The sequence below is a fragment of the Homo sapiens genome, chromosome 12 (genome assembly GCF_000001405.40).
Source record: "Homo sapiens chromosome 12, GRCh38.p14 Primary Assembly".
NCBI classification, from domain to species: domain Eukaryota; kingdom Metazoa; phylum Chordata; class Mammalia; order Primates; family Hominidae; genus Homo; species Homo sapiens.
Window position 1 is genome coordinate 62,726,119 of NC_000012.12, and position 27,359 is coordinate 62,753,477.

Here is a 27,359-nt window from a genome sequence, read left to right on the forward strand (position 1 = left end):
CATATGTCAAACCCTATGGAGTTAATGGCATTAAAGGAACTCTTCTCAAGAACTTGGTACAAACAGAGCAAACATATGGTTGCTTAATGAAAAATGAGATGCTAAAATACATGGCTGCACACAATTTGTAAAAACCTGTTGGTTTTCAGAGGAAAACACTTACGGTTATTAGTCTATCTTTTTGTGCAATCATAAAAGTTTATATAGTCTTATATGCACACATGTTTACACATGTACAGTCATCAAAATATTTAAAAAAGTTATCTGAGGGTTTTCTTTTTAATGTATCCATAATTGTGGATATTTTGACCATTGGACACAGATTACTTTCATTTGAAAAAAAAAACCCTCTAAAAATTAGTTTTTTGAGAACCCAGTGTTTAAAGCAAGTTTTAAAAGACTGCTGAGAAGAGCGTTACTGCTTCTTGTTCTAATAATTTTAGGGAAAGCCAAAATCCTGGAGAAGAGGCAAGCAGAGCAGGGGCCTGGCTCCAATGCGGGGATGTGGAAGCCGCAGATTCCCATCAGGCCAGCGCAGAGATGTTTTGTCCGCAAACGCAGAGTGGCCAAACAACTTGGTGATTTGGAAACTTCTTAGGGCCTGCCCAGAATTCAGGTGACCATGACTGGCTAGAATTACTTCATTTGTACTGGTCTGTGCCTCTGGAAGCATTGCTCAAGTCAGCATTCTGGAGTCCTGAGTCTTCAAAATGATTTTACTTTGGATTTACCATAAGCAATAAGCCCAAAGTCTGTAAAGTGTTGGGGCAGGAATTTGCTAGTTTGCTAATAATTTACTGACTTTTTTTTTTTGAGACAGAGTTTCACTCTTGTCACCCAGGCTGTAATGCAATGGCTTGATCTTGGCTCACTGCAACCTCCGCCTCCTGGGTTCAAGCAATTCTCCTGCCTCAGCCTCCTGAGTAGCTAGGATTACAGGCGCCCGCTACCATGCCCAGCAAATTTTTGTATTTTTAGTAGAGACAGGGTTTCACCAGGCTGGTCTAGAACTCCTAATCTCAGGTGATTCACCTGCCTCAGCCTCCCAAAGTGCTGGGATTACAGCCATGAGCCACCATGCCCGGCCATGTGTCCATCATTTTTAAAACCTTAACTCCACTCCAGTGCCCAGCATAGCACCCAACATAGTAAAGGTGCTGAGTAAGTATTTGCTAAAAGAATGAATACAGGACATTCTGACCTGCTCTACACAATCACAACATAGTGATTATTTAAACTATAAGATAACACAGCCTTCAATCTTTTGAAAAAGTTAAAAGTAAGGCCCATATTGTATAAAAACCATCTTGGACCCACGTAGTTTGGATTTAGTTAACTTCTTATAAATTGATAGATGTCTTCCCATAAAAACACATGTGCATGGCTGCATGTGGTTTTTAAAACCCCATGATGTTATTTTACAATCCTAAGAATACCTAAATAATAATGCTTTGTCTCTTCACTTAATAAGCCTGCAGATGAGAAACCTATAAATTAGCAGTTGATATTAAAATGCAAATATTATTATTATTATTATTATTATTATTATTATTATTATTTGAGGTGGATTCTCACTCTGTTGCCCAGGCCGGAATGCAGTGATGCAATCTTGGCTCACTGCAATGTCTGCCTCCCAGGTTCAAGTGATTCTCCCACCTCAGCCTCCTGAGTAGCTGGGACTACATGCGTGCGCCACCATGCCCGGCTAATTTTGGTATTTTTAGTAGAGACGGGGTTTCACCATGTTGGCCAGGCTGGTCTTGACCTCCAGACCTCAGGTGATCCATTCCCCTCAGCCTCCCAAAGTGCTGGGATTACAGGCATGAGCCACCACGCCCAGCCTTAAAATGCAATTTAAAGTGTACCAGCCCACCCTCCGATTAAAAAAAAAGGATCTCTTCTTGTACCTCCATTTTAATCCTAAATTTTGAGGTTTTCCTTCAAGGAAACATAACAGAATGCTACTAAATGAGGGGAGAGGGCGGAGGTATACCCCAAGTTCATGTGTGTGCCACAAATATCACCTGGGGGAAAAAGCTTGATAACCTCTGCCCTAGCAAGACCAAATGCAAGTAACCAAGACTCTTAGGGACTCTAAAGAGCACAGATTTGTTAAAGAGAATACGACATATCCTCATCACTTAGTGATCTGAGCAGCTAAAAAAAGGAAACTTACAAACATGGTTATATCTGGCCAGGAACAAGGACACCTCTCAGGAAAGGATGCTGGAACAACTGACTGTGTCAGGGCAGGACACCAGAGTTTGAGTAGGGGAATTGGATGTCTTTCTATGGCCACTCTCCTCTCTAGTCCTGAGCAGAAACTGGTTTCAAAGGAAGAGAAGGGAGATGAGCATTGCACTGTGGAAAAATACAACAACTCCATCCCAAAGAAAGTCTCTGAGTACCCTGAAGAATGGAGACATAACAGGAGGGAACAAGCCTGAAGAAGAGGCACCTTCCAGAACCTTCCAGTAAGCCTCTCACTAGGCAAGAGGGAGGCCAGAAGTCTAGAGTAGGTGAGCAACCTGCACCCAAGGCTGTCTCACTCTAGATCACATGGCCCTGAGCTCCACCTTCCTGGGCTCAGGGAGAGTTTCGAGCACCTCAGCAGGGCAAGGAAAAAAGGGTAGCCGGAAGCAGGGAACTCAGACCCCAGGGAGGGAAGCTAGCCCTGGTTATGGGAGAAGTCTAAGGTGACCAGGGCTCCAGCGGAGGGCTGAGCACCAGCCTGCCAGTGGACACAAAGATGGGGCTTTGAGGTTACTCAAAATTGCTTGCTAGGGAATACAAAATGCTTCCTCATTTTCTTCCTCCTTTTGATAATTTTTTTTTCCTGTTGCTTTGTGGTCAGCTGGCCAGTGAGTAGTGTCAGCCAAGAAGGAGACTGTCCCAGGGCTTGGGGTATCCAGACAAAGGAATTCATGCAACTAACATTTGAGCCCTTACATATGCTAAGTACCAGGGACTAGGGGTTTGGGGCTCAAAGAACACAAAAAGAGGACCCTCTGCTCAGAGCTGACCCACACAAGTGAAGGAGGCTGAGGGCGGCTTACGGGCAGAAATGGAGCCATTCACAGGGACCAAGGAACAGAGTGGGTCACACACTGAAGAGGATCAGAGAGAATCTGCAAAGGAGCTTAAGAGTTGGTCAGGCAAGAGCTCTAGGGCAAGTGTGGCCACAGCAAAGGCAGGGAAGTGGGAGAGAGCATGGCATTTGGAGGTAATCCTAGGAGAGAAGAGAGTGGGGCAGAGAGGAGGCAGGAGTGCAGACATTGGCACCAAAGATGGCCCCTCCTGCAAAGGGTAATGTGCAGTTAAAGAAAGGATACATGGAGTTAAATAAAGTGAAACTACTTAAACTTTTCAGTGAATTATATGTGGTAAAGTGCTCTTCTCATACGCATACAAGCTGATGAAGTTTCACAAATTGAACACACCTGTGTAGCTGGCCTCCCGATCAAGAAAGAACATTACCAGCATCCTGGGACCAGCACCCCATCATCAGCACCCCATCCAATCACTGTCACTGCCCCAAAGGGGCACTATTCCAACTTCAAGACTGGCCTTGCCTGTTTCTGTGCTTCATCTGAAATCCTACAGGATGCCCTCTTTGCTGGGTATTAAGTCTGCGAAATTCATCCATGTTGTGTGTAACTGCGACTTGCTCATTCTCCGTGCTGTATGTTAATTCCATCCTGTGATTATTTCATTATTTATTTACCCATTCTACTTTCCAGGGGCATTCAGATAAGCCATCATATCCCCTGTGACCTGCACGTACACATCCAGATGGCCGGTTCCTGCCTTAACTGATGACATTTCACCACAAAAGAAGTGAAAATGGCCTGTTCCTGCCTTAACTGATGACATGGTCTTGTGAAATTCCTTCTCCTGGCTCATCCTGGCTCAAAAGCTCCCCTACTGAGCACCCTGTGACCCCCACTCTGCCCGCCAGAGAACAACCCCCCTTTGACTGTAATTTTCCTTTACCTACCCGAATCCTATAAAACGGCCCCACCCCTATCTCCCTTTGCTGACTCTCTTTTCGGACTCAGCCCACCTGCATCCAGGTGAAATAAACAGCTTTATTGCTCACACAAAGCCTGTTTGGTGGTCTCTTCACATGGAGGCACATGGAAGTTTCCCGTTTAAGCTGTTACAAACAGTGCTGCTATGCACGCTCTGGTCTTTGGGTAAACATTCATACGCATTTCTGTTAGGTACACACTTAGGAGTAACACTGCTGGACCACAGCACTTTCAACTTCAGGGAGACTGCCAAACTCTTTTTCAAAGGAGTTGTTCCAATTTCCACCCTCATCAGCAGAATGTGGAAAATAAGAATACTCATGTGTTAAATAAGATAAATGAGATGGCAGATTCCACGACAGAAAATCTTTTGTAAAGTTCTCTGACTAAAACTAGAATCCTCTACCTAAAACTTATACATTAATTAATTTTTTAAATGTTCAGACCTCACAGCATTTGAGAGAAAGTAATCAAAATACGAATTTTCCGTGTACAATACAAAACTTTTTTTTTTTAATTGAGTAATCTCTCCTTTTTCTTGCCCTTAGAAGGGGAAAATCTCCTCAGATTATATGAGAAGAGGATTGGAAGCCTTGCAATTCAAGATGATTTATCAAGATAGAAAGTCTAAGGTCAAGAATGAAATGAAATTAATAATGTCAGCCAAACCACTGGTGATCACTAACAGTCACGCTAACAGTCAAATGAGACAGCTTTTCCAGAGCCAAGGCTGGCTGCCTGATTTACAGTGCAGGAATAGAATATTTTGGTTTGGGTTAGAAAAAATGTGAAATGGCTGAGACCCAAATATGTATAGGTTGGATTCTTTCATAAAGAACTCTGTTCTTAATTTGTTGTCAAAAATCTCAAAGTAACAAGAACCGAGCTTGTATATATAAGCTATTACAGAACTGAATACGAATAAAATTCTGCCTGGTTTATGAAGATTTTAAGAGAAGTTCACATTTAAATTTCTACGTGATCCAGGGGACCTATTGTAAACAGAAAAAAATGCCACAATAGCTTCTAGTCTGCCATTTTATAATTAGAAAATTTGAACCTCATATGCCATTTTATGAAAGGAGGTTAAATGAGGAAGTAGGTGGGACTGGAGTGGATTTTTTTATGACTCAGACATTCTCCCAGGGAGCAAAACACGGAGATATTGAAACTGTCTCTTTCTGAATAAAGCCAGGCTTGCTGGCTTTAGCCACCTGCTCTCAAGGTTAGGTGGGATGCCAAGGTGGTGCACCTGTCATTTTGACCCACCAGCACGCTTGAACCTCCCCACTTATAGCCTCCTGTCTTCAAAGCAGGTTCAGGCTTAAGGAATACTTTTCTGCAGACAACTCTTGAGCAGGAAAAATCCCAGAGAGCCAAGCAGCACCAGGGAAACAGCAGACAAACAGAACCCGGCTCGGCGTTGAGAGCTGGGGGTAGTTCCAAGGACATTGCAAGAAATCACCTCAGATAATGTTGCACTTGTGTTCATCAAATATGTACTTGAAACCCACGTTCATCTCTTCTATACATTGCCCTTGATGAAAAACAGCTGCAAACTTGGATTATTCTGCAAGGACAGAAGTATGTTATTTGAAGATATGATGACACCGGCACGACTTAATGTAATCAAGTCAGAGTTTATAAATATGTACCGGCAGAATGGAGGGAAAACCATCACTCTCATACCTCAGGGCTATGGATGTCTCCTGAGGGAGATCCATTTCTGGCTGTGACCTGAAGCAAAGGTAGGGGTGATTTCCTTGAGGCCACAGTATCAGAACAGTAAAATCTGTTGTGAAATGTCCATCAACCAGACACCCTTCCCTCCTATCTGAGCCTTGACTCCACCAAAACATTCTGTCCAGCTTGGTGAAGCCCCTTAAATATTTTATTTCAATCACCATGGAGACCTTAGAAACAAAACCCAGCAACAGAAGAGCAAGGGTTAGTCACGACTGCAGATCATCAGCTCTCCCTGGTGCTGAGGCAGGAGTGCCCGTCCCTTGAACTCCTCATCACACACCTGCCACATTCCGTGTGAACATGTCAAACCCTCAAGCCTGCTCAATTAATCACCCTGCCTGAGAATCTATGAAACAAAGTTCACATTACCCAGAGAGCCACATGAAGGGCCCTCTGAGGTCAGAATGCAAGACCAAACAAAATTAATGTGCCTGCCACATCCATCATCTTGTAATCTGCTTCCAGTTCCATAATCCCCGAATGTCCAGACTGTGCATACCAAGAACACTGAACATTCCTCTTTGATGTGGATCAAAATGGTTCATGTAGAAAGGACTCTGACCACCTTCTTCACTAGCAAGAAAAGCATTTACCATTTCTACAAGTCAAACAGACCTGGGACTGCAGACATCTGCTCAATGCAAGTGGCTAGGGACCCAGAAGTTTTTTTTTGTTTTCGGTTTTTTTTTTTTTTGAGACAGAGTCTCTCTCTGTCACCCAGGCTGGAGTGCAGTGGTGCGATCTCAGCTCACTGCAAGTTCTGCCTCCCGGGTTCACGCCATTCTCCTGCCTCAGCCTCCCGAGTAGCTGGGACTACAGGCGCCCGCCACTACGCCCGGCTAATTTTTTTGTATTTTTAGTAGGGACGGGGTTTCACCGTGTTAGCCAGGATGGGGACCCAGAAGTTTTAATGACTCTATCATAGATGTTTCTTCATATACCCTAAATATAAAATTTGATTTACCCTAAGAACAAGGAATACACTGTTAATTTTTCAGTGACTAATAACTGATGAGGCCACGTTAAGGAAGATGATACAACTATCATTGTACTAAACTATTTTGTAATCATTCAAGGGAATGAATGCTTAAAATAATGAATCAGTAGGATTACACGCACTTAAAATTATAACACAGTATACTGTATTTTATATTACCATGCAGTTACTTTTCGTTTTAATTTCTGAGCATGTTATGAGTACCTAAAAGGAAGTATTGCTACCCGTTTCATTCAGGAAGAAAGGAGATTCAGAGACAGAGTGTGAGGGGAAACTAGAGGTCAAATGACTCATGACTGGGCTGGGCTGGGAGAAATCCACATCACACTCCTATTTTCCTCTCATAGTTGATACTATTTTCTCCACCCCCCTCCCTGCCAAGATGGAGTCTTGCTCTGTTGCCCAGGCTGGAGTTGCAGTGGCACAATCTCGGCTTACTGCAACCTCCGCCTCCCAGGTTCAAGCAATTCTCCTGCCTCAGCCTCTTGAGTAGCAGGGATTAGAGGCGCGTGCCACCATACCCAGCTGATTTTTTTTGGTATTTTTAGTAGAGATGGGGTTTCACCATGTTGGCCAGGCTGGTCTCGAACTCCTGACCTTGTGATCTGCCCACCTTGGCCTCTCAAAGTGCTAGGATTACAGGTGTGAGCCACCATGCCTGGCCGATACTATTTTCAAGATTTTACACTATTAATCTCTAATTCCCTCAAGTATTTACCATAAAGATTTCACCATAAGATTATTTTATGCTATGAATATTCTAACTCAGGGTATTTTATGTTCTGAGTATTTAAACTCCTGATGTCTGAGGAGAAATGTTTTTAGTTATAAACTAGAGTAACCCATTTGATTTAGGAGTAAGGATTAAAAAGGATATGGGCAGCATTTTCACCTTTTAAAAATTCAGACATTAGGTTCGGTTCTGTGGACTAATAGTGTCCACACTGATTGTTTAAGGGCGACACCAAATTATGCATTAATCTTAGCAACGTTAGAAATGGTTCTTAAATAAAAACGAGGAAAAAAATTACCCTGGTTTGCAGGCCAGTGGGATCTTTGCTACCGACTGAATGTATCTCCCCAAAACTCACATGTTGAAGCCAAATCCCCAGTGTGATGGCATTTAGATGTGGGGCCTTTGGGAAGTGATTAGGTCATGAGGGTAGAGCCCTCATAAATGGGATTAGAGCCCTTATAAAAGAGGCTCCAGGGAGCATCCTTGTGCCTTCTGCCACATGAATTTTTTTTTTTTTTTTAAAGAAAATAAAAAAAAAAGACGGCTGCCTACAAATCAGGAAGTAGAGCCCTCACCAGACCTTGACTCTACCAGCACCTTGATGTTGGACTTCCCAGCCTCTACATCTGTGAGAAATTAATTCTGTTGTTTATTAACTACCCAGTTTATGGTTTTTTGCTACAGCAGCCCAAACAGATGAAGACAGATTTGTAGTGGTAAGACTTTAATTCCTCATACAATAGCTAAATGAGTAGTACTTTCTGTCACAAAACAGTACGGCATGTATTAGTCCTTACACAGACTTCTGAAGTTTTCTATCCCATTACTGTTGAAGAAATTGGGAGTCACTGAAGTTCCTTGTGGAAATTACATACACTTACGTGAGATCTGAAGCCACATGCATCTTATTTCAACCATCCCAAAATATACCGCTGACATTTGGGAATCTGAAAATGTCAGCATTCCTATACTTCCCCCAACCAAGTTAACCTCCCAGGTCCATTCTTGTAACATGAAAAGATGAAATCATTTTAAAACAGAAAGTGCAAAAAGTTAACTTATTATTCATTGCCTCTTGTAGGAAAACAGAAACCTGAATAGGAAATGGGTTTCAATAAAGAGCAGGAGGTGGGCTGTGCATAGTGGCTCACGCTTGTAACCCCCAGCAATTTGGGAGGCTGAGGTGAGAGGATTGCTTGAGCCCAGGAGTTTAAGACCAGCCCTGGCAAGACAGTGAGACCCCCCCATCTCTACAAAAGAAAAAAATAATTAGCCAGGCACGGTGGTGCACCTGTAGTCCTAGCTAAACAGAGGCTGAGGTAGGAGGATTTGTTGGGCCTAGGAGGTTGAGGCCACAGTGAGCCATGGTTGTGCTACTACAGTTTAGACTGGACGACAGAGTGAAACCCTGTCTCAAAACAAAAAACAAAAAAACAACGGAAGGTGAGGATAGGATATAATAGAGGCAAGGAAGGCAAAGGCTTCATACCCTGCTGTGAAATGTTTGGGCGGAGGGCAGAAGAGAAAGGACTGTTTGGTAATGATCTAGAAGTCAATATGAATATTGTTTTTAATTTTTTTTTTCTTTTTTTTAAAGAGACAAGGTCTCACTCTTTACCTAGGCTGCCCCAAGAGTGCAGTGGTGCAGTCTCGGTTCACTGCAACCTCTGCCTTCTGGGCTCAAGTGATCCTCCCACTTCGGCCTCCTGAGTAGCTGGGACTACAGGCACACATCACCATGCCTGGCTAATTTTTTTTTGGATTTGTTTTGTAGAGACAGCATTTTGCCATGTTGCCCAGACTGGTCTTGAACTCCTGGGCTCAAGCGATCCTCCCACCTCAGCCTTCCAAAGTGCTGGGATTACAGGCATGAGCCACCGTGCCCAGCCTGTTTTTAAATCTTTCGTTCAGTAAACAGATACTGGTTCTATATCTCCCTTGTGCCAGGTGCTGTGTTGAATACTGGCAATATGAGGTGACTAAGGTAAGTGGCCTGCCCTCCAGAACACAGTCTGAAGAGGGGGAGAGACCAGAACAAGCAACACCATATGCTGAGAGCCACACTGCAGGGATCTGGAAGCTGTGGTACAAGCACTGGGGACTGACTCCCTAGGAGGATTAGGGGACACTTTGCAGAAGAAGTGATATTTGTGCTGGAGTCTTAAAGAATGAAGAGGAGTTCTCCTAACAGAAAAGAAAGAAAAGGCCATCCAGGCAGACCATACTTCCAAAGGCATGGGGGTCAGAGATCAGAGAAATCATGATATGTCCTGGAAATGGAAGGTAGTTCTCTGTGGCTGGAGCATGGGATGCCTGGTGGCAGTGGTGGTGGTGGCAACATTGAGATAGGACTGGAGATGTGGGCAGGGGCCAGGATTCCAGCAAGGCCAAGAAGGGCGGTCTGCATTCTGTAAATTGCAGGGAGCCAAAGGCTTTTAGATAGGGGAGTGACAAGGTGGGTAATGAGGTCACTTGGATAGCCTTGTGGAATAGAGTGGAGAAAGCCAGACAGGTGGCAGAGAGGCTAGCTATAACGAATTCTACTTGGAGGGATCCTTGCAGCTCAGAGGCCCTTGGTGGCCCTATCGTCCAGCTCTCCATTTCACAAGTGATAAACCGAGGTCAGGAAAGGTTAAGAAACTTGCACAAAACTGTCCAGCTGGTAACACAGCTGGGGCCAGAATGAAGATCTGAAGGCTGCAGTGGGGTCCTTTCCACCGGCCTAGACTACCAAAGAAAATGACGAGGTCTGAAGCCTGGATTCCCTAGTAGTGGTTTCAAGTTTATCAGCTTAAGACACCACCACAAAGGTTAGAAAGCAACAGTAGGTGAAAGATTGAAGTACTGTTTTTACAGTCATTTTGGATTCCTGCTGTCTTATACACCAAATAAGTAGTTAAAGTGACACAGTTCATAGAATAAAATGAATGAAAACACAGACATGGAAATGGAAGGAAAGTGCAGAGCTGCTTTCTAAATCAACCAAATTAATTAAATCCTGACCACAAATACTGAAATGCAGAGATGCAAAGTCCTTTTTGAGTAGCCTGGATCAATTGTTTCCTAAGAGCAGATGGGCACTACTTTAGCTGTGTTGTCTACAAAGAAATCCAGTTGGCGAGAAAATATTTCATCCACAGAACTATGATTCACAGGGTTAGTTCCTAGAGGTATCTGCCCCAAGGCCACCTGGGATGATTACCAGAGTCACTTTAAACCAAGATTCTAAGCCTAATACCCTTGCCCCTGGAATTTGAAGACAAGGAAGTGAGTCTATTCTGTTTCCCAGAAAACTGAGCCCGCTCATAATTTCATTCCAAAGAGAATAATCTACATAGAGAACTTATTTTCAGGATAGAAACAGATTTTCTGACACCTGCACCTTTTCCAAAGGGCCTGTAAGACTTCATATCTGAGCATGAAGTAGTGGCATGTCAGCAGAGACCTCAGAGCTGCCACGTGGGCAGATTCTTCCTCACAACGGGAATCAGACCAAGTTCCCTGTTTGAGTTAAAGTGAGTAGCGGGCCATGGAAGAAGGTATCTGTGTTTTTCAAAACTGCATTTCACATTGTACATAAGAAGCCATTAAAAAAAAAAAAAAACAAAAAAAACAAAACCAGAGCACACCATGTCTTCAATTGGTCACAGATGGGAGAAAATCAGCCGCAATAATAAATTCACGGAGGTGGAGTGTGTCGTCACACACGGAGCCAGGATGTGTGATCCAGAAGGTGTGTGTGGGGGAGTTAATACCATATGTCATTTGAATGCGGTGAGCCTGCTCCCATGTCAGTAGCAACGTGTTCCTCCAGAACAGCTCCGATGCCATCCCTGATGCCACTGCCCTCTGCCAAGCCTAGATGACTCTTACCAGGTACTGAAGTCGCTGGCGCTCCGTCTCGGGGGTAAATTCTGAAGACATGGGGATAATTTCTCCATTTCTGATGATTATGGCCCTGAAATGGTGAAAATGCATTGTCAGTAGCCAATCTCATAAATGCTCTGATTCTGTTACAACCATTGCTTGGTTCAGGTCACACATGAAATGCCAAGAGATGTTTTTGTTTTCCCACTTGCATGGCAGAGTTCACTGTTCCCAGCTCTGAATCCCTCACCACATGAGAGGCATCTCTCTTTTAAGTGCATTGCATTCTAGTTAGCTTATGTTTATGTTTTCTGCTAGCTGGAAGTGTGCCTTAATGCTCCAGCCCCAACCATACTTCTTGGCACATAACAAATGCTCAGTGAATAAATGGACGGATGGATGAATGAATGAGTGATGCAACAGAGTCTTGCTCTAGCCCAGGGTTATCGAATAGCACCTTTTGTGATCATGGTAATGTTTTTGTTTGTGCAGTCCAATATGGCAGGCACTAACCACATGCGGGTACTAGGCACTTAAATTGTGGTTAGTGCAGGCAAGGAACTGAATTTTTCGTTTTATTGAAGTTTAATGAACTTAGCTTTAAATTTAAGCGGTCACATATGGCTAGTGTTGAATGTATTTGACAGTGCAGCTCTAGATCCCTGTTACTCCAATGATGCTGTGGGCCAGCAGCATTGGCTTCACCTGGGAGCTTGTTAGAAATGCAGAATCTCAGGTTCCACCCTGAGATTACTGCATCAAAATCTGCATTGTAATAAGATCCCCTGGTGATTCATAAGCACAGGGATGTCTGAGAATGTGTGGCCTACACTGTTGAATTTCTAGGGTGATATCCTGGGTCCAGGGGGAAAAAAAAAACCAAAACCACTCATCTCAAGGCTCAGGAAACTCATACACTCCAAAAAGTGTATCTAAGAGCTATTGCCCAGTCAAGGACTTTTGAGGGAACGGCGTTCCCCAAAGCAGATGTCTATAGGAGAGGCTGCAGGATCGATAACCATGAGCAACCTTTCCTGGGTCTATTCCCAGCGGTGCCTCCTGTTCCCAGACCTTCTGATTCCAAAGTGGTTCCTGACAGCCACTTTTCAGCTATCGATCGGTTGTGGCAGAATGTTGCCATTTCTACAACAAATGGAAGTGGCTTGGGGAATTGCATTCTATATGAACCCAACAGCTCCCAGGCATCAGGGAGCTAGAGACCTGAGACCTGACATGCTTCTCAGTGAGGAGCCACCAACATGGGAAATGCCTTCGATCAGCTCAGATCTGAGTGGATGCCTCCTTCATTCTAGGGAGGCTGCATTCTTTGTGCCAAGAAGCCTCTGGGCATCCCTCTCTCCCAGTGCAGAGGCAGTTCCTGACTTGGAAACAATCCCTATAAATGGCTGCAGCTGTCATGACCCCACCCCCAACCCCTCACCACCTGTGCCCTAGTTGCTGCTGTCATAGAAACGGGAAAGTGGGGGGTCGGGGCGGGGGCGGCGGAGGGGCGGGCAGCGCATCCAGGAAGGGAAGGAGTGATGACAAAAATCTTAGGGGTTTTAGAGAACTTATGACTCTAGGAAAAAAAAAAACAGTGGAAGCTGTGAGAAAATGGAAAAGTTTAGGGGAACTGACTGTGAGAAGATGAGGCCTCTTATAATACTCCTTATCACTTTTATTATGCTGTCTGAAATATGACAAGTTAAAGATTCCTTCTTATAAACAGGAGCCACTTGTCAAATGCAATCACTATTACCCCACCCCCACTAAGGTGTTATCCACCATTCACAAATCAGTGTGAATTAATTCCAATGGTCTTTGTTCTAATTACCAGGTGAGTATGACTATAACAAGGGAGTAGGAGTTTTGACAGGATGGAGAAACACAGGAGAATTTGAAAGGGGGCGGGGTCAGGAAATTCTAGGTTTGGGCCTAATCTTACAGGATCTAGAGGGCCCCTGAGAATTCGGGGAGCTGGAGTGAAAGTTATTATGTGATAAATTCCAAAGATAATCTCCTCTTTCAAGATTTTGCCTAAAGCTACTCTTAACTTTTTCCTCTTTTTCTGCACGGCCCCTGAATTGCAGTTGAATTCCCAGGCATGGACTAGGAAGAGCCAGCGATGCCCAATCAGGCCATGGAAGCATCTCCTCTAGGACCTGAGTGCCAGGAGCTCAGGGGCCTGGTAACGCCAAAGGCTTAGGTCATGCCTGTCACAAAGCAGGGGCCCAGTGAATGTTTGCTGATTAAAGGAGCAGATGAAAGAACTTAGAAGAAACTGTTCCTTGAATTTGAGGCCCGAAGAGAAAAGAACTAAAAGGCAGCAGATGTTCACTTAACCAAGTCACACGGGGTAGATTTTACAGAGGAAAGAGGGGCCTTCAGCTAGACACTCACTGCTCCTCAGCTATCTTTTCCTCTTCTCTTCCTGACCGGAGCTCCTCTCTGTCACTTCCCACACCTCGGGGTTCTCCCAATGTCAGTTACTCCCACTCCTGTATTTCTGACCTCTCTTTCCACTGGATCTCTGCCCATAGAACAAAACCATGCTAAAGCATTCTGTTTAAAATCAAAGTAAAACCAAAACCAAACAGATGATACTCTCCTAATCCGAACTCCACCTTTGAAATGTCCTTTTTTCTTTCCTAAGAACCTAAGCCTCAGAAATTGATAATAATCTACATTCAGGGTCTATCTACTCCCTCGCCTCCCATGGATCCCTCAAACAGAGGTAAATTAACTTCTTGCCTCCCTCTACACCCAGCTACTGTCACCTGAGTCAACAAATGGCCCTTTTGTTGCTACATCCCTTGGGCATGCCATCATTCTGATCTCCCAGGCAGCATCTGACTGTCTCCTAACCCTGGCACCAGGGATACAACTTCTTCTCCTGGTTTCCCTCCTAACTTCCGGGACATTCTCTCTCCAACTTCTCCGTCCCTTCTTTGCTGTTGTGGACTAGGATTCTGTCTCAGTATTCTCCCTGGGTGCTCTCATTCCCTAAATTCTCAGCCACCAAGGTTAGGTTAGGTTAGACCCCTATCCCTCCATACGTGTTCCCTTAGCCTGGTCCCTCTCTTAATACAGAACTCATCACATTTTATAATTGATTACTTAACTGTCTGCTTTCCACGCTAGCCTGTAAGCTGGACAAGAACCATGCCTGTCTTGATCGACACTGCAGCCCTACTACTGCACACGGTGCCAGGCCATTGTAGGCAGGGCTATGTAACTTCAGGGTCCAGCGCAAAATGAAAACACAGGCCCCTGATTAAAAAATGCAGAATTTCAAGACAGCCACAGCAGAGCATTACACCAAATGTGAAGTCCTTCGGAGAGCAGGGCCCTGTGTGGTGCACAGGTTGCATGCTCACAAAGATAGCCCTGAGTGTATACTCTTAATATCTGCTGCATGGATAAATAGCTCCAACAACGACATATGCTGGTGAGTCCAGACAACCTTTCTAGCCCACATATCTCTGTTGTGCTCGGCCTGGAACAGCCAACTGCCAACGGATATATCCACTTCGATATATTCACTGGCATTTCATACTTAATAAGGTTCAAAATTAATGATCCTGTCCCCAGCCCCCTCCCAAATCTGTCTTCTAGCATTCTCTATCTCCGGGAACCAAACAATTTTCCACCTAGTTGCTCGTCCCAGAAGACAGGCAGCCATTCTAGACTCCTCCCTTTTCTCACCCCATATGTCCAAATAGGCACCCAGGCGTGTAGATTTCACCTCCTCAGCAGCACAGGAATCCCTCTCTTTCCTTGATTCCTGCTAGTGCCTTGGTTCTGGTTTCCATCAGAGCTTACCTGCATGACTCAGGAGCTCTCCACTGCTTCCTCAGCCCCTGTTCTGCCCTCCTCTGCCCCGTGCTTCATAGGGTCACAAAGGTGATGTTAAAGCACCGCTCTCATCATGCCACATGTCTTACCGAAAGCCCTGTGATGGCTTCCCAGCTTTTCCAGTTTCCTTTATTATCTGGTTCTTGCCTGTATTTCTTGCTTTAGCCTCACTCTTGCTACTCCCTTCACATGGCTTCTTCCTTCTCATGGTTAGCCCATTTCTCTGAGTCAGCTCAGAACGCCTTCTGTTGTCCTCCTGGCCTACCCTCCATGCCCCTTCTCTGTGACCCCGTGGTGTCTATGCCTAGCTGTACCCTTACCAGTCCTTGCTATGACTGCTGGCTTCCATGGCTGTCTTGAACTACCCCGCGGATATTTTCCAGGCAGAGTCTATGTTGTTGTCTCTGAATCTCCAGTGCTCAGTGCCTGGCACGTGCCAGACGTGCAACAATTGCTTGCTGATGGATAAGTGGCTAAATAGATGAAGGGGGAGCTGGACTTGAGTGGAGGAACAGAAGAATCCAGAAATGAGGGCCCTACATAAGACTTTTCTTAGTAGCAATATTATATAACTTATAGTCTGAGCCCTTAAAAATCCATACGCCTTTTTGTTGGTTTTGCAAAAAGACGGCAGGCCTAAGAGGACAGTGTTCTGGCTGAGTTGCCACCGAGAAGCTCCTTGAAATACAAAGGGAAACAAGGCAGTGCCTCTCTCCTTAGTGGGCAAGGCAGGGAGGGGGCAGCAATGGTAGCAGCTCACCATGTTTACTTTGTTTTTTAATTTCAAATTCACACACAATGAGGTATCTGCGTTCCATTACAATATGACTGCCAGGGCAAGCCTAGTTTATTACTTTCTTAAATAGATAATTATATCCAAATCCATCTATGTACAGAACATTTTTTCACTTCCGTTTGAACTACCAAGCTCTTCCTTTAAGAGGCATCCATGGATTAAAGATGACAGCATGTTCGACTGCCAACCTTCCCAGTGCCTACATCACGATGCCTCTTCCTATGTGATCCTTGGCTTCCTTTTGATCTTTCTCTCTTTCATCACTCTGATCTTGGGATCAATTTGTCAGAGTGCTGGTCTCCAATCTGGAGTAGGGCAATGAGACGAAAGGGGTTTCAAACGGAACGAAATGCATGTGAAAGCTGACAAACCTCATACTAAACAATCAATAAAGTAGAGAAATGCCTTTAAAGCTACAGTCTGTCATCACAGGACCCCTGTACTTCCTAGCTTCTATTTCATTATTTTATGAGATGCTTTTCCTAAGGAAAATTAAGAAAAAAACAAAAACCAAATGCCGTGGCTGCGAGGGTGCAGGAGAGCTACGTATACACTCTGACCTTCCTTCTGGGGCCTCAGGCCTGGACTTGTGGATACCACCATGACCAGAATCTGAGTAACATTCCAGAGGTTAAACGAGAAAGTTGCCGGGGTTGAGGTGATTTAATCCATTGGCAATCACCTCCCACCCAATAACCATTCCCATACAGAGGGGATGGGTTTTCAGCATATTATCCAATATTAAGGTTAGCCTTTCCTTTAAAGACTACAGCTGAAATTTATATGACATTAATTCCAGTAAAATCGATGGGGCGTTATTTGCGATACAATGAACAGTAAGGTTTAGGGTGTTCTTATGAGTCAACCGCAAGAATGGGAGAAAAGGAGGTAAAGCAAGGACATTAATAGTTTAAAAAACTCAGGCCGGGCGCAGTGGCTCATGTCTGTAATTCCAGCACTTTGGGAGGCCAAGGGGGATGGATCACTTGAGATCAGGAGTTTGAGACAAGCCTGGCCAACATGGTGAAACCCCATCTCTACTAAAAAAATACAAAAATTAGCTGGGTGTGGTGGCAGGCGCCTGTAGTCACAGCTACTTGGGAGGCTGAGGCAGGAGAATTGCTTGAACCTGGGAAGGGGAGGTTGCAGTGAGCCGAAACTGCACCACTGCACGCCAGCCTAGGCAACAGATTGAGACCCTGTCTCAAAAACAAAAACAAAACTCCCCCTGGTCCCTGCCCCAAATATTAGCTACATGAGAGGATAAAGGTAATTTATTCCTAACCAATGAGAATTTTGAGTTACAGACTAATTCCTAGAAAATCCCGCTACTTCTCTCCTCTAATGTTATATTTTGGAGTTAAAAACACATATCTTTATTCCCCTAGTCTAAATATTAAGTGGTTAAGAGAAACAGGGAGGGTAAAACAGGATGGTCACTTCGAATATTAACTTGATTTTACAATTTTTCTTAAAGGGATCATATTAACTCTTGTTAAATCTCAACTCAGTGTGATGTTCTCAGAGCAGGACTGACATGTGCCAACAGGTATTTAACAAACAAGCAGAAGAAAAAAAGCTGATAAAAAATATGATTAGGCAACTGACAGAAGGAAAAATGCAACGATTAATAAAGATATGAAAAGATGCTCAATCTCACTAGTCCATGAAAATGCACACTAAAGTAAAAGCAATATATAATTCTGCTCATTAGGTTGGGAAACATTAAAAAAACAACAATATATAGTTTTCATAGAGTAAAAGTCACTTTCATAATGGGAATGGAAATTGTTACACCTTTTACATTGATTACAATTATAATTACATATCCAATGGTTCAGTCATTCCACTTTTGGGAATACATGCTAAAGAAATAAAAGACTCAGTACATAGGATATACATACAATTCAGACTTTTGACGTTATTCATTGGGGCAAAGACTGGAAACAGCCTGAATGTCTGTCAAAAGGGGAACTGTTGAATGGATTGGTTTGTATTCTATAAGCCATTATACAGTCATAAAAAAAAAAAAAAAAAAAAAAGGCCAGGCGCTGTGGCTCACACCTGTAATCCCAGCACTTTGGGAGGCCGAGGTGAGTGGATCACTTGAGGTCAGGAGTTCAAGACCAGCCTGGCCAACATGGTGAAAACCTGTCTCTATTCAAAGTATAAAAATTAGCTGGGCGTGGTGGTGGGTGCCTATAATCCCAGCTACTTGGGAGGATGAGGCAGGAGAATTGCTTGAACCCAGGAGGCACAGGTTGCAGTGAGCCGAGGTTGCACCACTGCACTCCAGCCTGGGCAACAGAGTGAGACTCTGTCTCAAAAAAAAAAAAAAAAAGGAGTGAAATTCTATTTTGTGACCTGGAGTTATCCATGATATAGTAAGTGAGAAAAGTAAACTGCAGAGTAATGGGTGGTACAATCCCATTTTTGTAAAAACAAAAACTATATATAGATATTCCATCTATGTGAGGAGTCTGATTCCATGCCCGAATCCTGTGTGCAATGTTTCAGGCCTGACCACAGGCCATTACAAAGGCTCTGCCCAGCAGGCCTCACGGGGGAAGCTGCCCTCTCCACACCGGATGTGGTGCACAGTCCCTGCACTGCAGCCGCCAGGACAGCTGCAGCCCAGGACTCATACCCCACTAGCCTAGGAGTCTCCACTGAGACACTTCTCTGCTCTGACTCAGTCTTCTTATAGTCCTTCCCCTTCTCTCCCTGGCCCTACAACCCTCGGTCCACAAAATGGCAAAGCCTTTAGTTCAGAGCTCTGGGCAGTGAGACTCCCTCCTGCCAGCGCTGCATGTCATCTGCCAGACCTTCACCTGGTGCCGTCCTATGGGGAAAAATGGAAGAGCACTTTCCTCTTTGCCTCTTGCCAGGACTACTGCAGTAAGAGAAGAAAGGTTTGGTTGTTACTTTCTGTTTGGTTCATTGTCCTAACTGACCACCTCGACACCTAGCAGCTTGATAACATATAATTATGTTTCAATGAGTGGCAAGGAAGTTATGGAAGTGGGAGAGAAAGTTAATTTTTCTTTTTAAAAAATTTTATTATTTTTAATTTTTTAAATTATTATTATTTTCTTTATAGAGACGAGGCCTCACTATGTTGCCTAGGCTCGTCGCGAATGCCTGGGCTCAAGCAATCCTCCCACCTCAGTCTCCCAAAGTGCTGGGATTACAGGCATGAGCCACCGCACCTGGTTAACTTTTCTTTATATATTTTTGTATTATTTGACTGTTACAGGAAACGTATGCTCCTTTTGTAAGTTTGAAGAGGAACTGATTTGTCCAGATTTGGCTATGCAGTCACAGAAGACCTAGAGTCTTCCTGAATGCTGATTCATCTTTGTAATGTTACCACCCTTCATGACCCCATGTGCCTCAAGCACCTCTCCATGAAGTTCTTCTACTAGGTGGCCCAACCACATCTCAGAGGCCATTATTTGGAGCTCAGTCACAGCAGCACAACTATCCTGCATCTGTTTCAGGAGCCACTAACTAAGAAGCCAGTGACTGAATCTTCTTAGAAAAATAAGAACTGGTTAAGCCTAAAACTGTCTGTACTTTTCTACATCACTTGTGCTTTATGGAAAGGACCCAGAAAAATAGGTTTAGAACTGCCAATCACATTCAAAATAAAAGTATAAGAAGAGGTTCCAAGTGAGGGATTAAATGCATGCATGACTAAAGAATTCATCAGCTCTTTGATTGAAGGTTAGATCTTGTTAATCTTAGCCATATAAAGAAGTCTAGACCAGGCATGACGGCTCACACCTATAATCCCAGCACTTGGGGAAGTCAAGGCAGGAAGATCACTTGAACCCAGGAGTTGGGACCAGCCTAGGCAACATACTGAGACCCTCGTCTCTACAAAAAAATAGAAAAAATTAGCCAGGCGTTGTGGTACATGCCCATAGTCCCAGCTACTCAGAAAGCTTAGATGGGAGGATCACTTGAGCCCAGAAAGTCAAGGCTATGATGAGCTATGATCATGCCACTGCACTCCAGCCTGGGCAACAGAGCAAGATCCTGTCTCAAAAAAAAAACAAAAACAAAAACAAAGTGTGAACAGGTGTGATCTTCCCCTGCAGCCTGAGCATTCTGTAACAGTCTGATACATATATTTCACTAGGCACCCAAGAACTGACTTGAAACTATGCCCACAGGCTCTGACAGTATATATCCAGGTGTGATTTATTCAGTGGCCATAGGGAAATTTTCAATGTGTTCCATCAGTAACACTGATAAAGCAAAACCAAACCAAACCAAACCAAACCACCACTGACAACTCAATTACCATATGCATTGCCTATGGGCTACCTACCACCACGGACTGCCAGAGTTCCAGGCCCAGACAGCCACCCAGGAGTATGGAGGTAGCAGCAGGATGGGAAAGCCACCTCCCCTTCATACATCACTACTAGGAGTAAATGGACTAGGGGATGTCCTTGTTGCGAGGCAGCCAACAGCCAATTACGCTTTCTATTGCCTGGGAGATATCTCCCTTGTTCCGGGGCAAGCAAAACTCAACTTACACTGTTGTGTGGTGTGGTTTCACCCTGCAGAATAAGGAACTTTCCTTCTAGATGGTCTCAGAAATGTTCTCCCTTCACGGAGCCCCAACACACAGGGTGCTACTGGGTTTGAACAGTAGAAGCTCATTCACACCCCCCCACTTCTAAATTTCCTAATATGAAATCACATTGCCTCAGTACACTGCAGAGCTACTGTGTCACTGGCTACAGCTATAGAGAAATCTTCAGATTCATGCAAACGAGTAACAAATTCTTTCTTTCCTTTTTTCTTTTTTTGAGACAGGATCTCGTTCTGTTGCCCAGGCTGGAGTGCAGTGGCACGATCGTGGCTCACTGCAGCTCTGGCCTCCTGGGCTCAGGTGATCCTCCCACCTCAGCCTCCTGAGTAGATGGGACCACAGGCATGTGCCACCATGCCTGGTTAATTTTTTAAAAAAGGTTTTTTTTCTTTTTTTTTTTTGAGACGGAGTTTTGCTCTTGTCTCCCAGGCTCGAGTGCAATGGCGCGATCTCGGCTCACTGCAACCTCCGCCTCCCAGGTTCAAGTGATTCTCCTGCCTCAGCCTCCCAAGTAGCTGGGATTACAGGCATGTGTCACCAGGCCTGGCTAATTTTGTATTTTTAGTAGAGATGGGATTTCTCCATGTTGGTCAGGCTGATCTCAAACTCCTGACCTCAGGTGATCCACCCGCCTCGGCCTCCCAAAGTGCTGGGATTATAGGCGTGAGCCACTGTGCCTGGCAATTTTTAAAAATTTTTTAGAGATGGGTACCGGGTTTAAGTGATCCTCACACCTAAGCCTCCGAAAGTGTTGGGATGGCAGGCATGAATCACCATGCCCAGTGTAAATTAAGTTTTAAGGGGAAGACAAAGTTTGGAGAATCAAGTAGGGCAAATGTAGGAACACTCTGTTAGCACCTTCTTCATGTAACCCTCAGAAAGCCTAAAAGCCCATGTTCTGCCAGGGTACATTCCAGAGCACACTTCAGCCCTTCTGCCCTCTCAAGGTAAAAACCTTTTGTCTTAAAACCAGACAAAATCCCAAAATTCACAGTCAAGTAATAAACAGGTGCTATGTAAACATGGCATGGAGACAATAGGCATAGAGCTTTTCAGCCTCAGTAGAAAGCTTTGCCCATGTGGCAGAACCCACCAAGTACTCCCTCTGCTCTAGATACACAACAATGACCTATAACATGAGGTGGGAAAGAGAAAGAGAAAAAAATTATACATGCACACACACACAAATATATAGCCAAGCTAAAAAATAAAGGTAGCATCTCTCTGTAGAGTAGAAATGGAAAAGAAATCCAAAATCCCCTAGCTGCTGGACTTGAGAAGCAGGTAATGGTGTCCAGGAGTCCAATTTCTATGGAGTAAAAGGTATTAAAAGTCCTCCAAGTGGCCGGGCGCAGTAGCTCACGCCTGTAATCCCAGCACTTTGGGAAGTCGAGGCAGGAGAATGGCGTGAACCCGGGAGGCGGAGCTTGCAGGGAGCCGAGATTGCGCCACTGTACTCCAGCCTGGGCGACAGAGCGAGACTCCGTCTCAAAAAAAAAAAAGAAAAAAAAAGTCCTCCAAGTAAGACAAAGGGCAGCGATCAAGCTCACATCTGAAGTCCAATTCCAAACCAAGTCACTTCACTTTGTTATACCTTGGTTTCTTCTCTCCGCAGCAAGGGAACTTGCTGAATGGCAAAGCAAAGTGCTTTGAGGCTCTAGTTTAAAAAAGTCCTGGGAGTGCAGAAATTCATTCCCATCTTTAATTCCTAAGCAATCAGCCAGCCCTGTAGCATGGAATCCACCCACTCATGTAGTTAAATGTGTTTCAGTGTAGAACACACACACACACACACACACACACACACACACACACGTGTGAGGAAGGGCCTGCCATCATCTACCCTTTCTGGGTTGTTAGGTTCTGACAGTTAACCTGAAAGGCTATACTGTGACAGCCAAAGCATGAAATGATAAAGACTGTGGGGCAAAGACTAATTGTCAAGCCCTCCTCCAGCTCAGAAGGTTCATGGCTTTGGAGGAAATTCACATATATGTGAGTAATTGGTGGTAGGAGCCTGTGTGTTGTGGCAGAAACAGCACCAGCACCAGCCTGGGAATCTGTGATTATAGGTGCCAACTCCACAGTGGGCTGTTAATTGTCTTTAACTCTGGGCCCTGGCATCCTTGCTGATAACAAAAAGGGTCAGAATCAGGTGATTTTACAGGCAACTTTCAAGGTTAGAGTGAAATGCTTCTGAAAACAGTCTGATACACACTGGGGTAGGAAAATACTGACAAGGACTCCAGTTACTACTTTTCTTCTCAGGAGGTAATAACCACTACAATTTAGATTCTAAGTAATATAAACCAAACACAGAAGCACCAGGATGGGAGAAGCCACCCTTACTACTTCTCTTAAAACATCACAGACAAGGAACCTACTATTGAGCAAGGCCCCCAATGTAATTTCACTGTTGTCATCAGTCCCCTTGGAACGCAGAGCTACAAACAAAAAGGCATCTCTGACACTGTTAAGAGTATTCATGGGATGCCCTGATTCCATTACACACTCTTTCAGCTGAAAGTGATTCGAAACGCAACATTAAACTGCACATTTCCAGAATGGAGGAGAAAATCTGGTACAAGGTGACAAAGAGAAACCATTCGGAAAACCCTTTTTGACAGTGTATATCAATTTCAAGGCACAGGGAGGAAACATCCATTTTGTTCAAAAGCATCAGACTTTGTGGATTCTGTTTGGATGCAGCAGAAGTGTTCTTCTCTTTCAAAAGTATTAGAAACGCATTGTTGGGAAAGAAAGCAGGGCAGCTGAGGGACAAGCCAGGGTTACCTTACCATCGTCAGAGGATGGCTACTCTGTAGATGCTAATTAATGGTATCAAAAAATAGCTGAAAGGAAAAAAGTAAGCTTAACAGCCTGGAATCAGTTTGGGTGTATTTCTTGTCATTCAATTTTCAGAATGGAAACTACTAAATAAGTCTGCAAATACGATGATTCATTTAACAAGACCCCAACTATGCAATTAAGCTCCTAAGCAAAAATATTCACAAATGATGGTCAAGGGAAAAATATTTCAGATCTTTAAGTAGCAGCAAAAATAAGTGACCACTCATAGAGCCATAGCTGAGTCCCATGTTCCTTGCTTTCTTCACAACCAGCCCAGTCTGTACTCATACCACCCAGAATAATTTCTCAGTGTCATATTCAGCCACTTTCTGTAGAAACATCTTAGTCTACCATTTTGCTATACCAGCAACACTCATGAAACCCAGTGCGCCAGCGCAAAATTTTCCAGATCAGCTAAATGCCTCAGTCATTAATGAAAGGTTTTCAAGGTGCATATCATTTCTCAAAAAAAAAAAAAAAAGAGGTCTATGTGTTTGTTTTCTGTTTTTGAATTATAGTCTGCATACCATAAAATATACCCTCTTAAAGTGATACAATTCAGTGTTTTTTGGTACATTCTCAGGGTTGTGCAACCATCACCATTATCCAATTCCAGGACATTTTCAAAATCTGAAAAAGGACTCCCTATACCCTGTACTTTTTAGTAGCCACTCCCCATCTCTCCTTCGTTCTAAGCCCTTGCAAATACTAATCTACTTTGTCTCTATGGATTAATCTATTCTGGACATTTAATATGAATGGCATCATACAATACATGGTCTTTATGACTGGTTTCATTTGCTAAACAGATGTTTTCAAGGTTCATCCATGTTACAGCATGCATCAATACTTCATTCCTTCTTGTGGCTAAATAATATTCCATCACATGAACACATTTTGTTTATCCATTCATTAGTTGGCAGACATTTGTGTTTCCATTTTTTTTGAAACAGTGAATAATGCTGCTATGAACATTTGTGTACAAGTTTTTGTGTAAATATATGTTTTCAGTTCTCTTGGGCATATACCCAGGAGTGAAATTATTGAGCCATATGGTAACCTTAACTTTCTGAAGAACTACCAGTTAGCTTTCCAAAGTGACTGTACAATTTTATATTCCCAATTGGTAGGTTTTAGAACTTTCTCTTAAAGGACTCTAGAGTTCAAACTAGATTCAGATCTGAAAATCTCAGTGATTTCTTATTCAGCACCCTTTTAAAGGCACCTTGCTGAAAAAGTTTTGCCTGCATGTTTAGATTTCAATGTGTACATCACACAATGCTTTATTTTTCATCTGCATCAGAGGATATGTATTCTGCTTCTCTCTAGTGCAGGGTCAATATCTAAAATTCACAATACCGTACGGTTCCCCAGCACAAATGTATACAACCATTTGTTAAGTGCCAAATCAAGCATTTTCTTCCTCATGGCAAGTAGCCAGACTGGGTGAAGCCACCAAAGGCATTTATTTTTCTCTCTACTGCAGTCTATTTATGAGTAGGACGAACTTTTCTCTTCTTTTTAAAGATGACTGTTGACTACAATGGCTCACTATTTGTGTGCCAAGACAGGTAGGACTTGCAGAGCCCAGGAAGCAATTTCTTCACTAATACCCTGCATTGGTCACACCCTTGTTTGATTTGTGTCTGATTCGGACCTCTTTACTTAAAAAACAGCAATGTGACGGAACAACTGAGCAGGGTCCCAAGAAGAGGAGTAAACACAATTCAAGGGGTGGAAAATAGAAGCTTTGAAGAGGCTAAAGGAAAAGTGGTATTTTAGCCTGAGGGAAAGAATGAGGAACAATCTCATCACACTCGCTTTCACGCATTTAAAATGGGTTTATTCAGAGAACAGTGGGTGACCAGTTCTTCATGCTCAGAGTGAAACAGACAGGAGGAAATCACATCAAATCAGTAAAATTCTATGGTTGGAAAAGGGAAAATAATTTCTTGATCTTCACATTATACATCTGACGAAAGCTCATGGATCTCCATCCCTGGAATTCTTTAAAAAGATGTAAAGGAGCTTTGTCTATATTTGCCTGCCAAGAATCTTGAGGCGTCCTTCACTGTAATTTCTTTATGGTGCTATAAATCAGGAACTACGTCTGCTACATGAGGGCAAAACCAGACCCATAAACAATGAGATCTAGACTGTATAATGTACTGAGAATGTCTTGCAGTGTGCACTGTGGAAGTAAACAGGACCTCTTCTTTGCTACATGCTCCTGTTCAAAATAAGTTATATTACTTCATGTGGCAGGGCAGGGAGGCTCATCTGTGGTTCATGGTTAGGTTATATGGGCTAGATGCTGCACACCAGCCCTACCTGTAAGGCCTCTCTGGCTCTGCCTGGTAACAGTTACCCGGTGTCAGTTCCTTACAAGCAAAGGCCTGGGAAGCCCATCTCTCATTCGTTGAACATAACCCATTAAGTTGGGTTTGGGAGCTGGCTGTGGTGAAATGAAAAGTAATCAAAGTTTGCAGTCCAAAGTCAATTTCAAGCTATGAATTAAGTATACTGGGAAAGTGAGTTAGCCACTCTGAGAATCAATTTTCCCCACTTGATAAATACCACTTTCTTCAGACTAAATGAGTATATGTATGAAGGGACTTTATAGATTATTAGTGATGCTGAATGAATAAATTAAACTCACATATAAGAGTCAGTAGAATAGTAATTTACTTGGAACTTCGTTATTTTTGTGTAATGATAAATGTCTACAAATGGGATCTTAAGGAACTGTATGAAAGAAAAAAAAATTTTGTGACCTCACTTAGGCTTTAAGAATAAAGTGGTTATCTCACATTTTATCATTAAATAAAAATTTAACATTTTGAAGATTTCTCATTGTCATTTCCATTCATGTGTTCAGATCCCCCCAACATTCCACAGAAAAGAAGGAAGATTGACAGGGGGATTGGGGGCATTCTTGCTTCTCTTGCTCAATAGCTTTGAAACCTCACTCTGTTCATTAATATTAGAGTCTCCTTAACATTTTTCCAAGCATATCCATAATTTTTAATTTTATTGTGACAAAGAGATACATATAAAGGAGTCCCATGCCAAATCCCCTTTTCCTGCAAAAATTCTACTCAACCCATAATTTATCCAAGGCTCTTACAACTGTCCAAGTAAAAAATGAGTCTGAACTATGTCTGTGGAAACAGAAAATTCTTAGAGATAACATACATAATTTAAAAAAATTATGTGGGAATTAAAGGAGAAGAAAATGCCTGCAAATCTGCTGAGGTTCCCAGCTTGGACAACGAAGGACGATGATGCTATTAACACAGGAGAGACGAGCAGAAGAGTTGGTCTGGAGAAGACACTGCATTTTGGGCATTTGAATTTGGGGCATATGTGTGATGTCAGGTGGAGGGGCTGGTGAAGACACAGTTGGAAATGTGGGAGTGGTGCTCAGGAATGAGGTCAGGGCTAAAAAAGATTTGTGAATAGTCATGTCTATATGCTAGTTAAATTATAAAATTGAAACAAGTGTTCTAGGGAATGCATACAGAAAAAGGGGAGAAAAACAAAGCCGAGAACTGAACTAACATATTAAGTGAAAACACAGAAAAATAGGTCTGTTCTCTCATCTACCTTCTAACCTCAGCTGCCTGGCAAACTCCTCTTCACTGAATAAATCAGTTAATTTAGGTTGGCCTCTACAACATTTCCTATGGAACCCACTTCTGAATGAAAACAGGGGACGACCAAATGAAGATTCCTCATGCTCGAAAGAGTTCAGGAAACACTCTTCTTTGTCACAGGACTTTTCTGAATCTTTAATATACTCACGTGGATTGTTGTTCTCCAAAACCAGGTTCCTTTGTAACAATGCCCAAATCTAACTAAGGGATGAACATCTA

General features: G+C 43.4%; 1 protein-coding gene across 3 annotated transcripts in view, besides 1 other annotated feature; it reads right to left on the minus strand.

Moving 5' to 3' along the window:
* Nucleotides 1–27,359, minus strand: part of PPM1H (protein phosphatase, Mg2+/Mn2+ dependent 1H) — a 291,157-nt gene that overhangs the window by 82,125 nt on the left and 181,673 nt on the right. For all 3 annotated transcript variants that reach the window (NM_020700.2, XM_011538578.3, XM_017019676.3), the window contains exon 5: nt 11,384–11,468. In NM_020700.2, the coding sequence (NP_065751.1) occupies nt 11,384–11,468 (85 nt within the window). The remainder of the gene's footprint in view (nt 1–11,383; nt 11,469–27,359) is intronic.
* Nucleotides 19,217–19,266: an enhancer, noted in NCBI's record as "active region_6584". NCBI's record gives its function as "activates an Ori minimal core promoter by ATAC-STARR-seq in GM12878 lymphoblastoid cells {active_cell/tissue: GM12878}" and the evidence as "EXISTENCE:reporter gene assay evidence [ECO:0000049][PMID:35858748]".